Here is a 20,170-nt window from a genome sequence, read left to right as displayed (position 1 = left end):
ACTATTGCCATTTTGTTCCTTGTTTTCTGTTTGTTTTGTAACTCCTCTTTTTATTTTTTCTTTTCTTACTGACTTTCTTTGTGGTTATTTCCTCTGGTAGTTAGTATGTTTTAATTCGTTGCTTTTTATTTTTAATATATTTGTTATAGGTTTTTGCATTCTGGTTAGTATGAAGCTTAGAAAAAACATCTTATAGATATAACTAGTTAATTGAAAAAGATAGTCACTTATTTTAGATAAAAAAGTAAAGTTCTTTTAGTGTGAAACCAACACTGAAAAAACTATTCAAGAAACTCCACTTTAACTCCAGCCCCCCAGATTTTGACACTTGTCTCAGTTTACATGTTTTATATTGCTTCTCTCTCAATGGGTTGCTCTAGCTACTTTTGTTTTTGATAGATTTGTCTTTCAGGCTTCATACTAGAGTTTTGAGTGGATTGCATATCACAGTTACAGTATTGGAGTAGTCTGGGGTTGTCATTGTACTGAATTTTACCATTAGGTTTTGTTTCTTCAAGTATTTTCTTTTTGCATGTTAGTGTTTTTTTTTAAAGTCTTATTTAATTTTTTATAATTTCAACTTTTATTTTAGATTTAGGGGGTACATGTGCAAGTTTGTTACATGGGTATCTTGTGTGATGCTGAGGTTTGGGGTACAATTGATCACATCACCCAGGTACTGAGCATAGTACCCAAGCGTTTTTCAACCCTTGCCCCTTCCCTCTCTCTCCCTGTAGTAATCCCCAGGATCTATTGGGTCCATCTTTATGTCCATGAGTACCCAGTGTTTAGCTCCCACTTATAAGTGAGAACTTGCAGGATTTGATTTTTTTGTTCCTGCATTAATTTGCTTAAGATAGTGGCCTCCAGCTGCATCTATGTTGCTGCAAGGGACATGATTTCATTCTTTTTTGTATGTGTGGCATTTTTTTTCCTTTCAGATGTAAGAACTCCCCTTAGTATTTCTTGTAAAACAGGTCTGGTGGTGGTGAATTCTCCTAGCTTTTGCTTGCCTGGGAAAGACTTTATCTCCCCCTCATATTTGAAGAATAGCTTTGCTAGATACAGTATTCTTGGATGGCAGCTTTTTTCTTTTAGCACTTTGAAAATTTTGTCCCACTTCCTCCTGCTCTGTATGGTTTCCATTGAGAAGTCTGTTGCCAGACAAATTGGAATTCCTTTATATGTTATTTGCTTTTCTCTCTTGCTGCTTTTAGGATCCTCTGTTTGTCCTTGACCTTTGAGAGTTTATTCTATGCTGTGGGCGAAGGATTACCCAGCTGCCAAGGCAAGAGACTAAAGACACAAACTGTTGCAGTATAATACAGAAAATAGTTAGAATAAGAATAGTTATAATACAAATTAGATATAGAGATGATCATGGACAATTATCAATCATTATTATAAAGATTATTAATCATTAGCTTTTAATATTACTCTTTGTTGCATTACTAATATAACCTAGGAATAACCTGCGGGTATAGGGTCAGGTGCTGAAGGGACATTGTGAGAAGTGACCTAGAAGGCAAGAGGTGAGCCCTCTGTCACGCCCACATAAGGGCCGCTTGAGGGCTCCTTGGTCAAGCGATAATGCCAGTACCTGGGAAGGCACCCGTTACTTAGCAGACTGCGGAAGGGAGTCTCCTTTCCTTGGAGGAGTCAGGGAACACTCTGCTCCACCAGCTTCTTGTGGGAGGCTGGATATTATCCAGGCCTGCCCGCAGTCATCCGGAGGCCTAACCCCCTCCCTGTGGTGCTTCAATGGTCACACTCCTTGTCCACTTTCATGTTCCTCCCGTACTCCTGGTTCCTCTTTGAAGTTCTTAGTAGATAGCAGAAGAAGAAATAGTGAAAATCTTAAAGTCTTTGATCTTTCTTATAAGTACAGAAGAAAATGCTGACGTTTGCTGCCTTCCCTCTCTGCTTCAGCTACCTAAAAGGGAAGGGCCCCCTGTCCTATGATCATGTGACTTGCTTGACCTTATCAATGACTTGGACGTCTCACCCTCCTTACCCTGCCCCCTTGTCTTGTATGCAATAAGTATCAGTGTGCGCAGCCATTCGGGGCCACTAGTGGTCTCTGCGTCTTAGTGGTAGTGGTCCCCTGGGCCCAGCTGTTTTTATCTCTTTGTCCTGTGTCTTTCTTTCTTACAATCTCTCGTCTCTGCACGTGGGGAGAGCAGCTGCAAAGCCCGGTAGAGTTGGACCCTGCATATGCCTTGGGGTAGTTTTATTTGGGTCAAATCTGTTTGGTGTTCTCTGATCTTCCTGAATCTGGATATGTGTTAGTCCATTCTCACACTGCTATAAAGAATTGCATGAGACTGGGTAATTTATAAAGGTAGGGGTTTAATTGACTCACAGTTCCACATAGCTGGGGAGGGCTCAGGAAACTTACAATCATGGCGGAAGGCAAAAGGGAAGCAAGACATCTTCTTCACAAGGCAGCCCGAGGGAGAACAAACAGCAGAAACTACCACACACTTATAAAACCATCAGATCTCACGAGAACCCACTCACTATAATGAGAATAGCATGGGGGAAACCGCCCCCTTGGTCCAATGACCTCCACCTCTCTCTCCACTGATACCTGGGGATTGTGGGGATTATAATTCAAGATGAGATTTGGGTGGGGACACAAAGCCTCGCCATATCAGGATATTTATATCTTTCTCAAGTTTTGAAAAGTTTTTTGTAGTATTTTTTGAATAATCTTTCCACTCCTTGCTTTTGCTCAACTTCCTCTTGAACACCAATAGTTCTTAGACTTGAGCCAGGTGTGGTGGCTCATATCTGTAATTCTGGTACTTTGGGAGGCTGAGGTGGGAGTGAGAGGATGGCTTGAGCCAGGAGTTCGGGATCAGCCCGGGCAACATAGTGTGACCCGGTCTCTACAAAAATCTAAATAAATTAGCTGGGCATGGTGGTCGTATGCCTGTAGTTCCAGCTACTTAGCAGGCTGAGGTGGGAGGATCCTTTCAGCCTGGATGGTCAAGGATGCAGTAAGCTGTGATTGCACCACTGCACTCCAGCCTGAGCAATGAAGGTGAGACCTGTCTCTCAAAAAAAAAAAATTCTTAGATTTGATCTTTTGAGGTAATTTTCTGTATCTTGTAGGTGATCTTCATTTCTTTTCATCCTTTTTTTTCTCCTCTATAATTTCAAGTAGCCTGTCTTCAAGCTCACCGATGATTTTCTCTGCTTGATCCATTCTGCCGTTGAAAGACTTTAATAAATTTTTCAGTTCAGTAAATGTATTTCTCACTTCTAAGATTTCGGTTTGATTGTTAAAATTATTTCAATGTTTTAGTTCAGTTTCTCTGACAAATGTCTTTAGTGTTATGCTGGAGATCCCTGAGTTTCCTTAAAACTGTAATTTTGAATTCTTGGTAAGAGCTCGTATCACTGTCTCATATGGAGCCAGTCACTGGTTTCTTGCTTTGTCCACTTGGGGAGACCATGGTTCCCTGTTTGCTGCTGTTTCTTGTGAATGTATATTTATGTCTTTGCACTGAAGGTTATTTATTCCAGTATTCTCTATCTGGCTTGGCCTATTTTTTTATTGGGTATGTTTGCAATTTACCTGTTGAATTTCTTCAGTTTTTTCCTGCTAGGTTGCTGCCCCTTTTTAGTGGTAGATGATCCCTTAACCTCAGGTTGGCCTTGGCTCTAGCAAACTATCGGAGTGCTCCCTGTCTGAATGGGGGAGGGCCCAAAAGGGATATCCCGGTAGCGTGGGGAAGGCTGGCTCGGGGTTGTGCCCAGGGGTCCTGTGGAACATACCTCCTACGGCATCGTGCGGCTGAATAGTCACTGTGGCTTGGTGTCTCCTTTGGCTGAGTTACAGAGCAGAGTTTCCGGGGCTGGGATGGTAGTCCCACCTCCCCACTTTGTCTCTGGCTGTCCTCAGGAATATTTCTCCCTTCAGGCACTCTCTCAATGCTTCCGTGGGTTGAGACAGAGACAAGTTTCCTGCCAGGGACTCCAAGATGGTGGGAAAGGTAATTGCCCACCTCAAGTTCACTTTTTCCGGTGTAGAAACTGAGATAGGAAAATTTTCATGTGCTTGGTGCTGGGCCATGGAAGGCAGGGGCATCATGGATATGAAAATTTGATTCTCTTACCATCTGCTCAGAGTTTCGTCACTTCTCTGTGGCCCTGGGAAGTGGCCCATCCTCATATTTGAGTTCTAGGATATTGCTGGGGATCATCTTGGCCCTGTATGTTTGTTTTCAGTTTTCTGTGGCAGTGGGTGGGGATGGGGGAGAGTGAAGCCAGCTTGCTTCTATGTCACCATTTTTTAAAAAATTGAGACAGAGTCTCACTCTGTCACCCAGCCTGGAGTGCAGTGGCATGATCTCATTGCAGCCTCCGCCTCCTGGGTTCAAGCAATTCTCCTGCTTCAGCCTCCCAAGTAACTGGAATTACAGGTATGAACCATTGGACCTGGCCCTATGTCACCATTTTGGAACCAGAAGTCTGTCCCCAGCTCTCGTCTCCAGTAAAATCTCTCACTCTCTTTTCTAAACCCTGGCACCCTTGAGACCGCTACTTTCACTGTCCCCAGAGAGACACACCTGTGTGTCCACCCTGCACCTGTGTTCCACCCCTCTGTCTCTGACCTGCTGCTCCCTCCCTCTCTGCCGTCAATGCCCACCTGCTTCTTAGGTCCAGTTCAGACCGTGTTTGTACAAGGTCACTCGGAACTCCTGAGGTACTCAGTGTCAGCTAATGTAGGTAATGGGTGGCAGGTGTGCAGAACACCCTAGGCAGGCACTGAGCTTAGCCTTTGATCTACCGTCATCTCAGTTAATCCTCTCAATACTCTGTGAGTCAGGACGTGTGTGTGTGTGGCCCTGCTACCGAGGAGTCCTTCACCAACTTAGCAAATATTTATGGAAGACTCACTGGGGATTTGTTAAAGTCACTGCTTTATTTGAGCTTTCATTCTAGTCAGGGATGACAGAGAAATGATGCCCATCATAAATAAGTATTAAAACTGTTAGAAGCCTGAATGTGCCTTGGGTGAATACAGCCATGGCACTGTTCAGGGGTGGATGAGGCCGTCAGGGCTGAGGAAGTTCCATTTAAATTACCTGGTCAGGCAAGGGCTTGCTGAGGTGATATGTGAGCAAACATAAAGGCACACATTAGCCCCGTGGACAGCCAGGGCATGGACCTTGGGCAGATGAAGGTTTTAGGGAGGGGGGCAGTCAGGGGCTCAGATGCTGGGCATGCAGAGTGAGGGGCAGAGGAGCAGGAAGTGAGGCCAGAGGCAGCATGGCCCTGGGATGCCTCACCTTGCTGTGAATGCTACAGCCGGGTCCTCTGAGAACAATCCCAACACAGGAGTGTATTAACATCTCAGTTCCCAGAACACTTTTAATTTCATTCACTCAGGTATTCATGAACACCCGTCTTCTTATGTGCTGTGTTAGAGTTCTCTAGAGGGACAGAACTAGTGGAATACAGACACACACACACACACACACACACAAACATATATATATATATATATATATATATATATATATATATATATATAGATAGATAGATAAAGGGGAGCTTATTAAGTATTAACTCGCACGATCACAAAGTCCCACAATAGGCCGTCTGCAGACTGAGGAGCAAGGAGAGCCAGTCCAAGTCCAAGTCCAGTTCAAGGGATCATCCAGGAAGCATCCAGCACGGGAGAAAGGTGTAGGCTGGGAGGCTAGGCCGGTCTCTCTTTTCACATTTTTCTGCCTGCTTATATTTGAGCTGAGCAGGCAGCTGATTAGATGGTGCCCACCCAGATTAAGGGCGGGTCTGCCTTTCCCGGCCCACTGACTCGAATGTGAATCTCCTTTGGCAACAGCCTCATAGACACACCCAGGATCAATACTTTGTATCCTTCAATCCGATCAGGTTGATACTAAGTAGTAACCATCACACGTGCATTCATCATGTGCACACACTGGTTAGGATCTGAGGGTATAGACCAGGCTCCTGTTCTCTGGGAACTGGCATCCCAGCAAGGACAGGTAGTAAACAAATAAGAACATTTAAGAACAGTGTGGGGAGGGCCTAACACTGTGCTGTGTGGTGGTACGTAGGACGCAGGCTACTGTAGACTGGGTGGTTGTGGGGAGGAGGTGACTGTGGGGAGGTGACATTGATCTGAGCCCTGGATGCCAACAAGGAGCCAGCTGTGCATGGATGGAGTTGGGAGCGGTGCCAGGCTGAGCCTGCAGGAGGTCAAGGTGCTGGTGGGAGCTCATGTGGCTGGGGACGGTGAGCATGGGCGGGACAGAGGTGGTACTTGTGCAGAAGGAATTAACCATGAAGGCCAAAGATGCCCTCCCTGCAGAGGCCTGCTGGCAAGGTTGGCCCTCAGCTGGGGCCTGGGAGCTTTGCCGATAAACAGGCCCCCACACTGATTCACTGAATGGCTGCGTGTGCAAACAATAGGGTTTATGCTGAGGACCTGCTTTCCCTCTGAGAGGCTGGGATTTTGGACTATGCCAGGCACAGGTGCTGACGTGACCAGACCCCAGTAAACCCTGGGTGCCGAGTCTCTAGTGAGCGTCCCTCATAGACAGCACTCACATGTGTTGTCACATCTCATCGCTGGGGAATTAGACATGTGCTGTGTGACTCCCCAGGGAGGGGACTCTGGGAGCTTGTGCCTGGTTCCCCTTGTGCCTTTCTCTTTGCTGTTTTTGCAGGTTGTCCTTTCACTGTAATAAATTGCAGCCTGAGTCCTGGGAGTCTCTGAACCTGGGGATGGTCCTGGAATCCCTGACACAGATGTGGCCAGAGAAGGGATGGAACCAGTCCTGCAGGGCCCTTTAGGGAATAGTGAGGTGCAGTGTGAGGGTTGCAGCGACCCGTGGGCTGCTCAGCCCAGCCTGGGGTGACTGTCTCACTTTCCCTCGGAGGACAGGGTGGGCACCACCTGCAGACTCTGGGAAGTCCTCACTCAGTCTCCACGTGCACAGGGCCTAGGAGGTGGTCTGGGTGCTGGTGGGCGGCTCTGCCACATGCCACCCTCACAGTCTTCCCCTGAGTCTGTTCCTTCCTCTTGCTTGTCCCAGGCCTCTCTCAGCAGCACCTTCCTCTGTGAGTGTCAAATGCTACTGACTCATGTACTTCCTGTCTATTCAGAGACAGGACGGGGGTGGGAAATTGGTATCATTTGCATGACGCTCACCTCCTGGGGTTGGTGAAGAGCTTGCAGGCATCAGAGCTAGCTGGGAAGTGAGCAATTATAACATCTTTAGGAAATTGACTTGGCCCTTTCTGAGTCTGTGTCTCCTGGTTTTCTCCATGCCCAGTATTCAGAGGAGGATGAGAGGAATGCTTCCTTGGGCCCCATGGCCTGGCTTTGGCTTTGGCATTGGCATTTTCAAAAAAAGTCTAGACTTACTGATCATGATTCCAGACTCCCGAGAAAGAAGCAGAGAATGTTCGGGTTGTATGAGTGGGATCTGGGATCCTGGGGGCGGGCTGTGAGGGTGAGAGCCCCACGGAAGTGCACCCAGGAGCAGGTGGATGTGGGAAGGCTGGAGCCCCCCAGACCAGGGCTGGCCTTGGGGAAACAGAAGGGGGTCATGGCATCAGAGAGGAAAGCGCATCTTCGCTACGATCCCCCCTGCCCAGAGCCTCCTCCAGATCCAGGGACCCCTCTCCTTCTGTGTTTGACCAGGGACACTGGCAGCTCTGCCTATGTTGAGAGTCCTCAGAGAGCTTCAGCTAGGCCTGTTCCCCAAAGATCTTTTGTTGTTCATTTTAAGAAACAACAGACCATCACTTTAAAAGTAGCACATTTTGGTACCTATTTCTCAGTGATTGATCCTTTCAGATACAGTTTCCCAGGATCTAAAGATGGTAGCTGAATAATGCATGATATTTTTGTTTCCCAGAAACAGGTGTTTTATTTTTATTGCATTAGTCTTATGAGAACAAGCTGGCTGCAGTTTCTCTGAGAGCCGAAGTGCTGAAACAATTCTGGGTTTTATAGGCACCCATTGCCAGGAGCTGTCATTGCCAGGCTCTTGGGCTCTTGACAAGGAAGCTCATTATGGCCGTGTCTCACCTCCTCCAGGGAGGTGCCAGATCCGTGTGCAGCAGTTTTGCACGTCCATCCATTTGTTCATCATTCATTCATTCACTCATTCTTTCAATGTTCATTTCCTGAGGGCTTCTGAGTCCTGGTGCTGGGATGCACTTTGGGGTTACAGAGACAAAAAGACCAAGTCCCAGCCTTTAGGGAACCTATAGTCTATGAGGGAGACAGAGTCTCAGTCATTGGGCCAGGTGATGAGGGGTAAACTGAGGCATACACCAGGTGTGATGGGCTGTGAAGGATCAAGCCTTGGAGCTCACCGGTGGGCGGGAGGAAGACCCCACTGAGGAGAGGAGAGAATCCGTGAGTGACAAGGAGTAGATGGGGCTCATCAGGTGGCTGTGTGGTGGGCAGGGACCCCAAAGGGCCTGAGCAGAAGTGTGACTATAGTGACTTAGAACTCAGGAGGGGCTGCCCTTGAGCCCCACTTGATTTACAACCTGGACCCTTGGTGATTTTGGCTGGAGAGAGGCAGTTGACTCCTTTGAAATATGAAGTGAAACACCAGAGGCAGGAACAGGCCAGTGGTGGTTAATGAGTGAAACAGATGGGAGTCTTAATTAGAGCAAGAGCAGGGCTAATTTAATGATCAGTGCTTCCCCGAGCATATGGCCTAGAGATACTTCCACCCACGCTGAGGGAGGCAGTGCGCAGAGTAGGAACGGCCACATGTGTGGGCAGTGGGGTTTGCAAGGGTTTGTTCCCCTGCCCGTGCCCTCTACTCCAATGCCAGCTTCTACATTTTGTTAGCTTCTTTTTCATCCTCTGTGTCAACAGGTAGGGCCTTCTCTGAGGAACTGACTTGCAGGGCGTGGCCTCGAACTGACGTGGGGATTTTGCCACACAACCTTAGGGAAAGCCAATGATGACCTAGTGACTCTCACCACATGCTTCCAACTGCTAAGACCCTGAGTGCGGGCCTGTGAAAAGGGCAGGTGGGAGAGGGATGCTTGCCAGAGCCACCTGTGACTCCAGGTTAACTGGGGCCACATCTCCCAAGAACCCTGGGGTTGACTCTCACAATTCCCCCAGGTCAGCAGCCAGCCCTACAGTAGGGCCTGCTTTTTGGATAATAGTTCTTTAGGAGGAGCATAGCACTGGGTCCTGTGCCATCTGGCAATATTGCTCCTTTCCCATTAAATCCAGTGGTTCTCAAAGTGGGGTCCCTGGGCCAGCAGCATCAGCATCACCTGGAAACTTGGTAGAAATACAAATTGTCAGTCCTGCTTCCCAGACCTGCTCAGACACTGTAGGAGTAGAGCCCAGCAATCTATGTTTTAACAAACCCTCTGGGTGATTCCCATGAATGCTGACATTTAAGACTCTGCTATAATAAGCCTTAGATTTCTTCACACTAAATAGTGCTTGGAAGGATCAGTTTATCCTGACAACATCCTGTACTCTTTAGAGAAAAGGAACTGGGTGCTCTGAGATTCTGCTTGTTCATCTTCTGCAGTAAGTGGGATCTTTGGGCTCTCCTCAAATCCTGTCAATGAGCAGGTCGGGAGCACTGATGGGGGCGTGGGAGATAGGGTTTGTGTCCATTCTCCCGGAAACCATTTTATCTTTGCCCTCAATGAGGGATTGGCCATCAGAATGAGAAATAATCTTTAAGGTCTAAGGAAACAAATCTCTGTGGCTGTGATATGTGGCCTCCACCTGCTAAAAATGGCTTCAGCCACTGTGTGTAATTCTGAGAGCTTATTTCTTTGGAAAGAGGCCATAGCCATCAATACTAACCATTGGGGGAATTTATGCCCCATCACCCAGCACCAGCAGCCCTATCAATTTCTCCAGCATGCACAGATGTGGACTCCCCTGACTGAGTGAGGGGCCGTGTAACAAACAACTGATTTGATGGTCTGCCTGGTTTCTAAAGTTCTGTATCATGATTCCTTCTTAGCTGCAAGAGATCTCCTACCAAAGCTGATATATCTCAGTGGGACATGCATTAACTCAGTCACCTTTCCAGGTAAGAGGGAGTAATTAACTGTGCCAAGATGTTCCAAATGGCTCTTTGTGGAGGTCAGGGCACCTCCAGGGGATGCGTGACACATTTCAACCTTAGATACTTGTTTTTTGCATGTGAAATGCTTGGATGCCTTGGTATTGGGAGCTGATCATTTGCCTTTACTAAATGGCCACCCAGCTAAGAAGGGTGAGAGACTTCAATCTGCTGCCCCTCTCAGTCACACCTCCTCAACATGGGATTTTAGATATTTATGAGTCCCTAGGGTGGACCTTTAGACAGTAATTCCCAGTGTCTCTTATGAGAGAACAGTGCTCAATGGAAGGAGACAGCCCTGCTTTTCAGGAAGTTGCGACTTAAAGAATTCTAGCTCTTGGTGCCATTAAGTGCCATCAATGACACCCAATTTGTCAATGACCATCAGACTAGTTGTTTGTTACGTGGCCTCTCATCAGTCAAGAGTCCGCGTCTGTGCACGCTGGAGGAGTTAAGAGGGCTGCTGGTGCTGGCTGGTAAATTCTCCCAGTGGTCAGATCCAACACACTCCTAAACCTTAGTTGTGGATCATGAGACGATGTGGACCTGGGTGTCGGGAGAATGGTGAGAGTGGGTGTTGGGGTGTCGGATGACTGGATGTGCCCTGCCCATGCCAGGGATGTCACACGGCAGGACTTCAGAGGAGACAGAGTGTGGGGAGAGAGAGTTGAACTGGAGATGCAGAGAAGGAAATGTTTCATATGGGGGAGATGGAGTCCCAAGTGAGAGTTTCCAAAGAGAGCGTGGCTGATAATCGAGCCTTGGGGAATATCTACGTTTAGGTGTCATGAGGCAGAGACAAGACAATAGTGGAGACAGATAAAAAGTCACAGAGGCAGGAGGAAGATTGAGAATGCAGTGCCAGAGAGAACAATCAATAGTTCATTTACAAGGTGGAAGAACTAGTCAGCTGTCTAAAGTGTTTCCGAGAGAATGAAGAAGACAGAATCAAAGATGAGCCACAGGTTGGAGTGACCATTAGTAGGAACAATGCTCCTCACTGTGGTCAAGGGCAGAGGTTAGGGGTGAAACCAGCTCAAGGCCCCAGGGCTGGGAGAGGGGCTAGGTGGTGCTGGTCCTTGGGGACACCACCTGCCACCGTCACATCTCCTCCAGCAGATGCAATGATTCTCTCCCTCCCTGGACAGACATCGTTAGAGAAGATTTAATCAAGAAAGAGCAATGGCATAATGGAGTCCGTCCAGATGAGTGAGATAATGGCCTGACTCCTGCCCAGCCTGCTAACATAATTGGATATGCTGGAGACTCCTCTGCTTCTATTAGGTTAACATGCTGTGATTGTCAGTGAGATTGCAAACAGCGCCTTCCCTCTGTTCTACTCCCAGTCCTGCAGATCTCCTGGGTTTTGAGAGATGTTTCCTAAATGAAGTGACTTTTTCTCTTTCCTCCCTGGTGGGTCCTGTAGACGGATGTTGGTCAGGCTCTTTCCATGTGGGGTGGGGGACACAGGGCACACAGATCCTCCTGCCTGGCTCCACGGCAGAATTACTTAGGCTTTCCCAGGGCTTGTCCCAGGATGCAGGTGACGGCTGCTATGCTTTGTGTGAAGCTGCGCGCAAGTGTCAGGTGACTGGAGAAGAGAGTAGAGTCAGATAAGGATGGTGGCCTCCCTGTTCCAGGCTGATGGAGTGCAGTGTGGGGGCTGGAGCTCATGCAGCCATCTTGGAACATGAGGAGGATCAACTATCGAAGACGCCAGGGAAGAAAGATGGAGTAGTCTCCTGCCTTTATAAAGGTGAACAATGACGCCAGCCCAGGACTACATTTCTCTATGCTGTTTCGTGAGAGAGAAGGAAACTCCTGTCTTGTTTAAACTCCTGTGTTTGTGGTTTTCAGTGGCTCACAGCTGATCTCACCTTAACCAAAATGGCCATAGCACGTGCATTTCCTGACCCTCTGTGTGGTGCTGACTGGAGAAAGCAGCTTTCCTCCTGGCTGTGGCTCAGCCCTGTGCTCCTCAGAGCAGGGTGCTCATGACCCACCTGATGCTGACTGCTAGGCCTGGGACTCTGCATTTCTGACAGGCTCCCAGGGGATTCTGTGCTGCAGGTCCAAGTGCCACACGTGGAGTAGCAGAGGCTTGGAACTCACCTGCCTTCTGCAGTCCCAGCCCAGGCGTTCTCATCTGTCCTACCCAGGACATTTTCTGTCCAGCCCTGCCTGCAAGGGCAGTATCCAGAGAAAAGCAATCAGCAAAGAGGATTCTAATGTAGACGTGCCTGGTTGGGAGTGAGTGCTCTGCAATGATTGTGAGTCCTGGAGGCCGCCCCGTGACTCTTCAGGTGCAAGTAACAGGTAATATATTACTTCTTGTCACCTGGCTGCCCCTGTGAGCTTCACCTCACAGCAGTCTTCTTGTACCTGTAAGACAGGAAGCTGGGGTATCAGTGGGGGTTACATATTAAAAGCCCAGCCAGGACCAGCAGATGCATTAGCAGTCTATTCCTGCTTTTCCTAATCTGGCAGGTGGGTTATCAGGTTGCTCGCTTAAGATCAGCTTCATTTGTCCCTTCTGATGCTAGGTTAGAAACTGGAGGCTGCGGCCCAGGAACCCTAATTTTACTTGAAGATGCCAAGCACTCTTCAAGACAGCGCATCTGCCCACAAGCGGAAGGGCTTACTCTCCCACACCTCCTTCTGTTCCTCCCTTTGGCTCCTGCACAGGCTCTTGCTGTAAACACTGATGGTGAAGCTGCAGTCCTGGGCTGGACGGCCGGGCCTGGGGGAACTGTCACCCTGGCTTCCCTTTGGTTGGGGCCCGCAGTCGTCAGTGTCCTTTCCTCATTACTCAGTGCCCTGCATTGAGCTGGCCTGGGCCTCGCCTGGCTTCTGTGATGCATCCTCAGGCTTCTCTGCTTGTGCCTGTTCAGTCTTCCTGGCTTAAAGATTTCTGCTGCTGTCCGAGCCAAACACTCCCACACATCTTTTTTTTTTTTTTTTTTTTTTTAATGGAATCAAGTTTTGACTTCATGCCGACAGCACAATTTATTATTTTTAATTTAAAAAAGTAGGACACCTCTATGCAAATAAACTAGAAAATCTAGAAGAAATGGATAAATTCCTGGACACATACACCCTCCCAAGACTAAACCAGGAAGAAGTTGAATCCCTGAATAGACCAATAACAGGCGCTGAAATTGAGGCAATAATTAATAGCCTACCAACCAAAAAAAGTCCGGGACCAGACGGATTCACAGCCGAATTCTACCAGAGGTACAAGGAGGAGCTGGTACTATTCCTTCTGAAACTATTCCAATCAATAGAAAAAGAGGGAATCCTCCCTAACTCATTTTCTGAGGCCAGCATCATCCTGATACCAAAGCCTGGCAGAGACACCACAAAAAAAGAGAATTTTAGACCAATATCCGTGATGAACATCGATGCAAAAATCCTCAATAAAATACTGGCAAACAGAATCCAGCAGCACATCAAAGAGCTTATCCACCATGATCAAGTGGGCTTCATCCCTGGGATGCAAGGCTGGTTCAACATACGCAAATCAATAAACATAATCCAGCATATAAACAGAACCAATGACAAAAACCACATGATTATCTCAATAGATGCAGAAAAGGCCTTTGACAAAATTCAACAACACTTCATGCTAAAAACTCTAAATAAATTAGGTATTGATGGGAAGTATCTCAAAATAATAAGAGCTATTTATAACAAACCCACAGCCAATATCATACTGAATGGGCAAAAACTGGAAGCATTCCCTTTGAAAACTGGCACAGGTCAGGGATGCCCTCTCTCACCATTCCTATTCAATATAGTGTTGGAAGTTCTGGCCAGGGCAATCAGGCAGGAGAAGGAAATAAAGGGTATTCAATTAGGAAAAGAGGAAGTCAAATTGCCCCTGTTTGCAGATGACATGATTGTATATTTAGAAAACCCCATCGTCTCAGCCCAAAATCTCTTAAGCTGATAAGCAACTTCAGCAAAGTCTCAGGATACAAAATCAGTGTGCAAAAATCACAAGCATTGTTATACACCAATAACAGACAGAGAGCCAAATCATGAGTGAACTCCCATTCACAATTGCTTCAAAGAGAATAAAATACCTAGGAATCCAACTTAGAAGGGATGTGAAGGACCTCTTCAAGGAGAACCACAAACCACTGCTCAACAAAATAAAAGAGGACACAAACAAATGGAAGAACATTCCATGCTCATGGATAGGAAGAATCCATGTCGTGAAAATGGCCATACTGCCCAAGGTAATTTATAGATTCAATGCCATCCCCATCAAGCTACTAATGACTTTCTTCACAGAATTGGAAAAAACTACTTTAAAGTTCATATGAAACCAAAAACGAGCCCTCATTGTCAAGACAATCCTAAGCCAAAAGAACAAAGCTGGAGGCATCATGCTACCTGACTTCAAACTATACTACAAGGCTACAGTAACCAAAACAGCATGGTACTGGTACCAAAACAGAGATATAGACCAATGGAACAGAACAGAGCCCTCAGAAATAATACCACACATCTACAACCATCTGATCTTCGACAAACCTGACAAAAACAAGAAATGGGGAAAGGATTCCCTATTCAATAAATGGTGCTGGGAAAACTGGCTAGCCATATGTAGAAAGCTGAAACTGGATCCCTTCCTTACACCTTATACAAAAATTAATTCAAGATGGATTAAAGACTTAAATGTTAGACCTAAAACCATAAAAACCCTAGAAGAAAACCTAGGCAATACCATTCAGGACATAGGCATGGGCAAGGACTTCATGTCTAAAATACCAAAAGCAATGGCAACAAAAGCCAAAATTGACAAATGGGATCTAATTAAACTAAAGAGTTTCTTCACAGCAAAAGAAACTACCATCAGAGTGAACAGGCAACCTGCAGAATGGGAGAAAATTTTTGCAATCTACTCATCTGACAAAGGGCTAATATCCAGAATCTACAAAGAACTGAAACAAATTTACAGGAAAAAAACCAACAACCCCATCAATAAGTGGGCAAAGGATATGAACAGACACTTCTCAAAAGAAGACATTTAGGCAGCCAACAGACAAATGAAAAAATGCTCATCATCACTAGCCATCAGAGAAATGCAAATCAAAACCACAATGAGATACCATCTCACACCAGTTAGAATGGCAATCATTAAAAAGTCAGGAAACAACAGGTGCTGGAGAGGATGTGGAGAAATAGGAACACTTTTACACTGTTGGTGGGACTGTAAACTAGTTCAACCATTGTGGAAGACAGTGTGGCGATTCCTCAGGGATCTAGAACTAGAAATACCATTTGACCCAGCCATCCCATTACTGGGTATATACCCAAAGGATTATAAATCATGCTGCTATAAAGACACATGCACACGTATGTTTATTGCGGCACTATTCACAGTAGCAAAGACTTGGAACCAACCCAAATGTCCATCAATGATAGACTGGATGAAGAAAATGTGGCACATATACACCATGGAATACTATGCAGCTATAACAAAGGATGAGTTCATGTCTTTTGTAGGGACATGGATGAAGCTGGAAACCGTCATTCTCAGCAAACTATCACAAGGACAAAAAACCAAACACCGCATGTTCTCACCCATAGGTGGGAATTGAACAATGAGAACACTTGGACACAGGAAGGGGAACATCACACACCAGGGCCTGTTGTGGGGTCGGGGGAGGAGGGAGGGATAGCATTAGGAGATATACCTAATATAAATGACGAGTTAATGGGTGCAGCACACCAACATGGCACATGTATACATATGTAACAAACCTGCACGTTGTGCACATGTACCCTAGAACTTAAAGTACAATAAAAATAAATCAGCTGGATTTTTATCTAAAAAAAATAAAAAAAAGTAGGTGCTTGAGCAATTTCACAACCAGCCTATGAACATCATATTTCTACTACATTTATTTATCTAAATTTTCTTCCAATTCTCATCAATTGGCATGGCTGTAATTGGGGTATAACCTCAAGCTTTTGGGTTCTGGTCTTTTCCCACTTGGCCTGTGTAGTCCCTGCTATCCTGCTTTCAATCACTATATTTGAAAGGTCATCTGCTATTTTTAAAAATAACATTTTATTACAAGTTACATATTTACTGTAGAAAAATTTAAAGTCTCTCTCTATATATCAAAAAGAAGAAAAAAAATCACCTATAATTATATCACTAGGGGGCAACCACTGGAGATATTTTGGCGCAGGGATTTTCAGATATCTTTGTGAGTGTGTATGTGTGTGACACAATATATTTGAGTGAAGTTTTTTGAATGAAACTTGGCTCACTTTATGCACACTTTATTGTAGCCTGTGTTTTTGTTCAATAATATGTGACTTTGTCTTCAAGTCATTAAACATCCTCCTTTGACAATGATGATTTCCTCAGGTGAACGTCAGAATTACCCAGGGTGTTTTTAAATAATAAACAGCTTTCTAGGCACCTCACTGCAGAGAGTGAATCTAATGTGTGGATCAGAGCATCTTCTCATATGACTTCTGAGTTTTTATTCATTCAATACCCTGTTGCTGAAAATGGAGGCTTTCCCAAAAGGTTTCCTGTTGTAGATTAAAAAAAAGTTTCTATATGCGTACATCAGGTGTTGTGGATGGAAACTGGATCAGTGGGCCAAAGAGTCTTTGTCATATCTGATGTAAACTGTCATTGACACTCCAGAAAAAAGAGACTAGTGAGCACTGCACAGTAGGGAGTGGCAATGCCTGTCTGCCCACAGCTTAGCCAGCACTGTGTTAAATGTTTTTTCCTGTCTTCCAATTTCATAGGTTCAGTCACGTATTCACTCATTCATCAGGTCTATTTTGGTCAACTGCTCTGGGCCATGCTCATTCAGGGGATGGGGCCCCTATGGTGACTCAAGACAGACATAGCCCCTGATCTTGTGCTGCTCGATTTTGTGGGAGAGTACAGTTGTCCCTCAGAATCTGCAGGGGATTGGTTCCAGGATTCCCCGTGGACATCAAAATCTGCAGATGCTCAAGTCCTTTATATAAATGGCATAGTATTTGCAGATAATGTATGCATATCCTCCCATATACAGATGCTCTTCAACTTCTGATGGGGCTATGTCCTAATAAACCCATTGTAAGTAGAAAATTTCATTTAGTCAAAAATGTGCAGTTAATAATACCCTGATAAACCCGTGGTAAAGTTGAACAATTATAAGTGAAACTGTCGTAAGTCCGTGTGCTTGTCTATTTACCATGGGGTTACATCCCAATAAACCCACCATAACTTCAAAAAATCATAAGTTGAACCATTGTAAGCCAGGGACCATCTCTACTTTAAATCATCTCTAGATTACTTGTAGTGCCTAAGACAATGTGAATGCTGTGTAAACAGTTGTTATACTGGCTGTATGCAGTGGCTCATGCCTGTAATCCCAGCTATTCAGGAAGCTGGGATGGGAAGATCACTGGAGACCAGAAGTTTGAGACTAGAAGTTTGAGACCAGCCTGAGCAATATAGTGAGATCTTGTCTCTTAAAAGAAAGAAAAGTTGTTATACTTTATTGTTTAGGGAATAATGGCAAGAAAAAGAAGTCTGTACACATACAGTGCAGATGCAACCATCGTAGGCCTAACTACATTCTGTATCCGAGGTTGGTTGAATCTGTAGATGCAGAACCTGCGGTTACATAGGACCAACTCTACTCAGAGGAGGGCCTGCATAGAGTAGGCCCCCAGTCAGCGCGGGTGGTCATGATTAGGTAACTTGTGACAGGGCGCGTGATTTTTAAGTTTCTCTGTGGGTTGGGTTGTCACTCAGTTCACTGATACCTCTTCAGGCGACCTCCCCTGCTGGTCTTGTATCTCTAGAACCCCTTTCTTATCTGAAGGGTGTGTCATCTGTGGTGGGTTTCGGGACCCCCCCCCTTGTGACTGGGCACACCTAACCAGTAACTAGTAAGCAGCTGGGCACGGAGAGGAACCCATCAGACCATCACTGAGCATCTTCTGTGTACATCCATAATGCCAGGTCCTCACCAAGCACCTACTATGTACGTAACTGGTGCCAAGCCATTATTGAGCACCTACTGTGTACACTCACAGTGCTAGACCATCACTAAGCACCATCCAATGCCAGGTAATGACTGGGAACCACCATGTACATGTACAGTGCCATGCCATCACTAAGCTTGTCGTGTACATCCATGATGCCAGACCATTGCTAAGCACTTACTGTAGACATTCATATTCCAGGATCTCAAGGCATGATGATAGTGGGTCTGGACCCTCACTGGCTCACATCCTGGCCTTTCCTCTCCATCCTTACTTTAACCCGGTCAAGAAGAACAGCCTGGTTTCTGATTCATCATGTATCAGAGACACATTTTCAAGAATTCCATTCATCCAAACATGTAATAGGTTCGAATTTTGAGCCATGCAAAACTGAAACTTACAGTAATAGCTAATACTACCTCCAAAATAACTGCACAACATTCAGTCTTAGTCAATTGTAAGTAAATGTGGTTATATCACAGTTGGGCTCAGTCAGTTCAGGAGCTCCCTCTCTCCATCTTTTCTCTGGGAAGGCATGAGTCTGATGCATCTGGCTTCTGGCCCATCATCTCCCTCCCTCACAGACCTCTGGAGAAATGTCCATCATAATCTGGTCCTTGCAAATTGATGGGTGGATGGACAGATGGATGGAAGGAAGAGAAGGAGACAGCTCAGACTAGTTATGCCAAATGCACTGAGGGCCTCCCCACAAGCCCCACTCAGGGTTGCCTGGGAGGGTATTAATCATCTTCTCTCCCAGTCACTTCCTCTCCTGGCCAGACTTAGAAAGGTGAAGACTGACCTCACACCAACCACAGCCTCACTGTCACCTGAAACATCTTGAGCAAATCAGCACAGCAAAGAAAAAGGAGCTTCCAGGTCAGACACTGGTTTCTCCCCTAGTTACTCTGAAGGAGCCCCAGGGAGGATTTGAAAAATTAACAATAGAGAGTTAAGTGGGTGAACTGCTATGTTTTTTTTTTTAACAAATGGATAGAAATGAGATGAATTAAAATAGAGTGATATCCCTGGGTGGTGTTTGAGGAGTAGACACACTGTTGGTGCATGTAGAGAATGACTCAGGCTGTAGATTATAGTCTTGGCTGCACATAAGAGTCACATGGGAAGATTTAACAACCCTGATTTCCAAACTGTGCCCCAGCCCAATTACATCAGGATCTGTGAGAATGAGGCCAGCCAGGATCCAGTCATTGCAAAGCTTCCCAGATTATTCCAGTGGACAGCGTCTTTGAGAGCCACTAGTTTAAAGTCCCCTTCTTATTGGGCTCTGGAGGTTTCTGTCCCACCCAGGCCTGGGTGCAAGGTGGGTGGGGTATGGGCGAATGTTGGGGGAAGTCTACAGCTCTCCTGCTTCTGGAGCTGCTGCCTCCCTTGGGCCATCCTTCTTTCCTCCTTCCTCTTCAAAGCCATGGTCTCAGTTAACAGAGAACCTGGAAAATACTCTCTTCTTGGTGCTGAGTTCTCCTCAATAGCCGAAGTCCTGGATGGGCCTGAAGAGTGACATTTGTTTGTTGGACATTCAGTCTTCACATTCTTCTTCCATATCTGGGTCTACATTCCCTGCCAGATCCTCTCCCCCAGTCCAGGACTCCAGATGTGACTTTGCTTTGGGCTCCAGGGAATGGGTCATGCATCCTAGCCTGGATCAATCAGAGCTTCCATTTGGGCCACAGTGATGGGTTCAGGAACAAGCATGCAATTCAAGCAAGGACTCTGGCATCCAAACAGAGGAAACCCTGGTCTTCTGCTTGAATGGCTGAGGAAAGGTGGTGGACCTTTCTTGAGATTTTTGAATCATAAACTGGAGGATGGTAAGGTTGGAGTTACTGGACAGAGCTGCTTTGAGAATAAAGGTAGCACAGAGAAGGAGAGCAGAGACTGGACTCTGGTGATGTCACCTGGGCACTTGGATCAAGCCAGGCCTGAAGTCACCACACTTTCCAGGTAAGTGCACCATTAATGTCTCTTCTCATTTATGCTGGCCTGGTTTTGGTTTGCTGTTGCTCACGACAGAAAGG

General features: G+C 46.0%; 1 long non-coding RNA gene across 1 annotated transcript in view, besides 2 other annotated features; it reads left to right on the top strand.

Annotated features, from left to right (window-relative positions):
• The window catches only part of LOC101929974 (uncharacterized), a 76,895-nt gene that overhangs the window by 11,245 nt on the left and 45,480 nt on the right, over positions 1 to 20,170 (top strand). The gene's annotated exons all lie outside the window — the stretch shown is intronic.
• Positions 7,365 to 7,414: an enhancer, noted in NCBI's record as "active region_7363". NCBI's record gives its function as "activates an Ori minimal core promoter by ATAC-STARR-seq in GM12878 lymphoblastoid cells {active_cell/tissue: GM12878}" and the evidence as "EXISTENCE:reporter gene assay evidence [ECO:0000049][PMID:35858748]".
• Positions 18,986 to 19,035: an enhancer, noted in NCBI's record as "active region_7362". NCBI's record gives its function as "activates an Ori minimal core promoter by ATAC-STARR-seq in GM12878 lymphoblastoid cells {active_cell/tissue: GM12878}" and the evidence as "EXISTENCE:reporter gene assay evidence [ECO:0000049][PMID:35858748]".

Source organism: Homo sapiens, chromosome 12 (genome assembly GCF_000001405.40).
Source record: "Homo sapiens chromosome 12, GRCh38.p14 Primary Assembly".
NCBI classification, from domain to species: Eukaryota; Metazoa; Chordata; class Mammalia; order Primates; family Hominidae; genus Homo; species Homo sapiens.
This window is presented reverse-complemented; position numbering and strand designations above follow the sequence as displayed.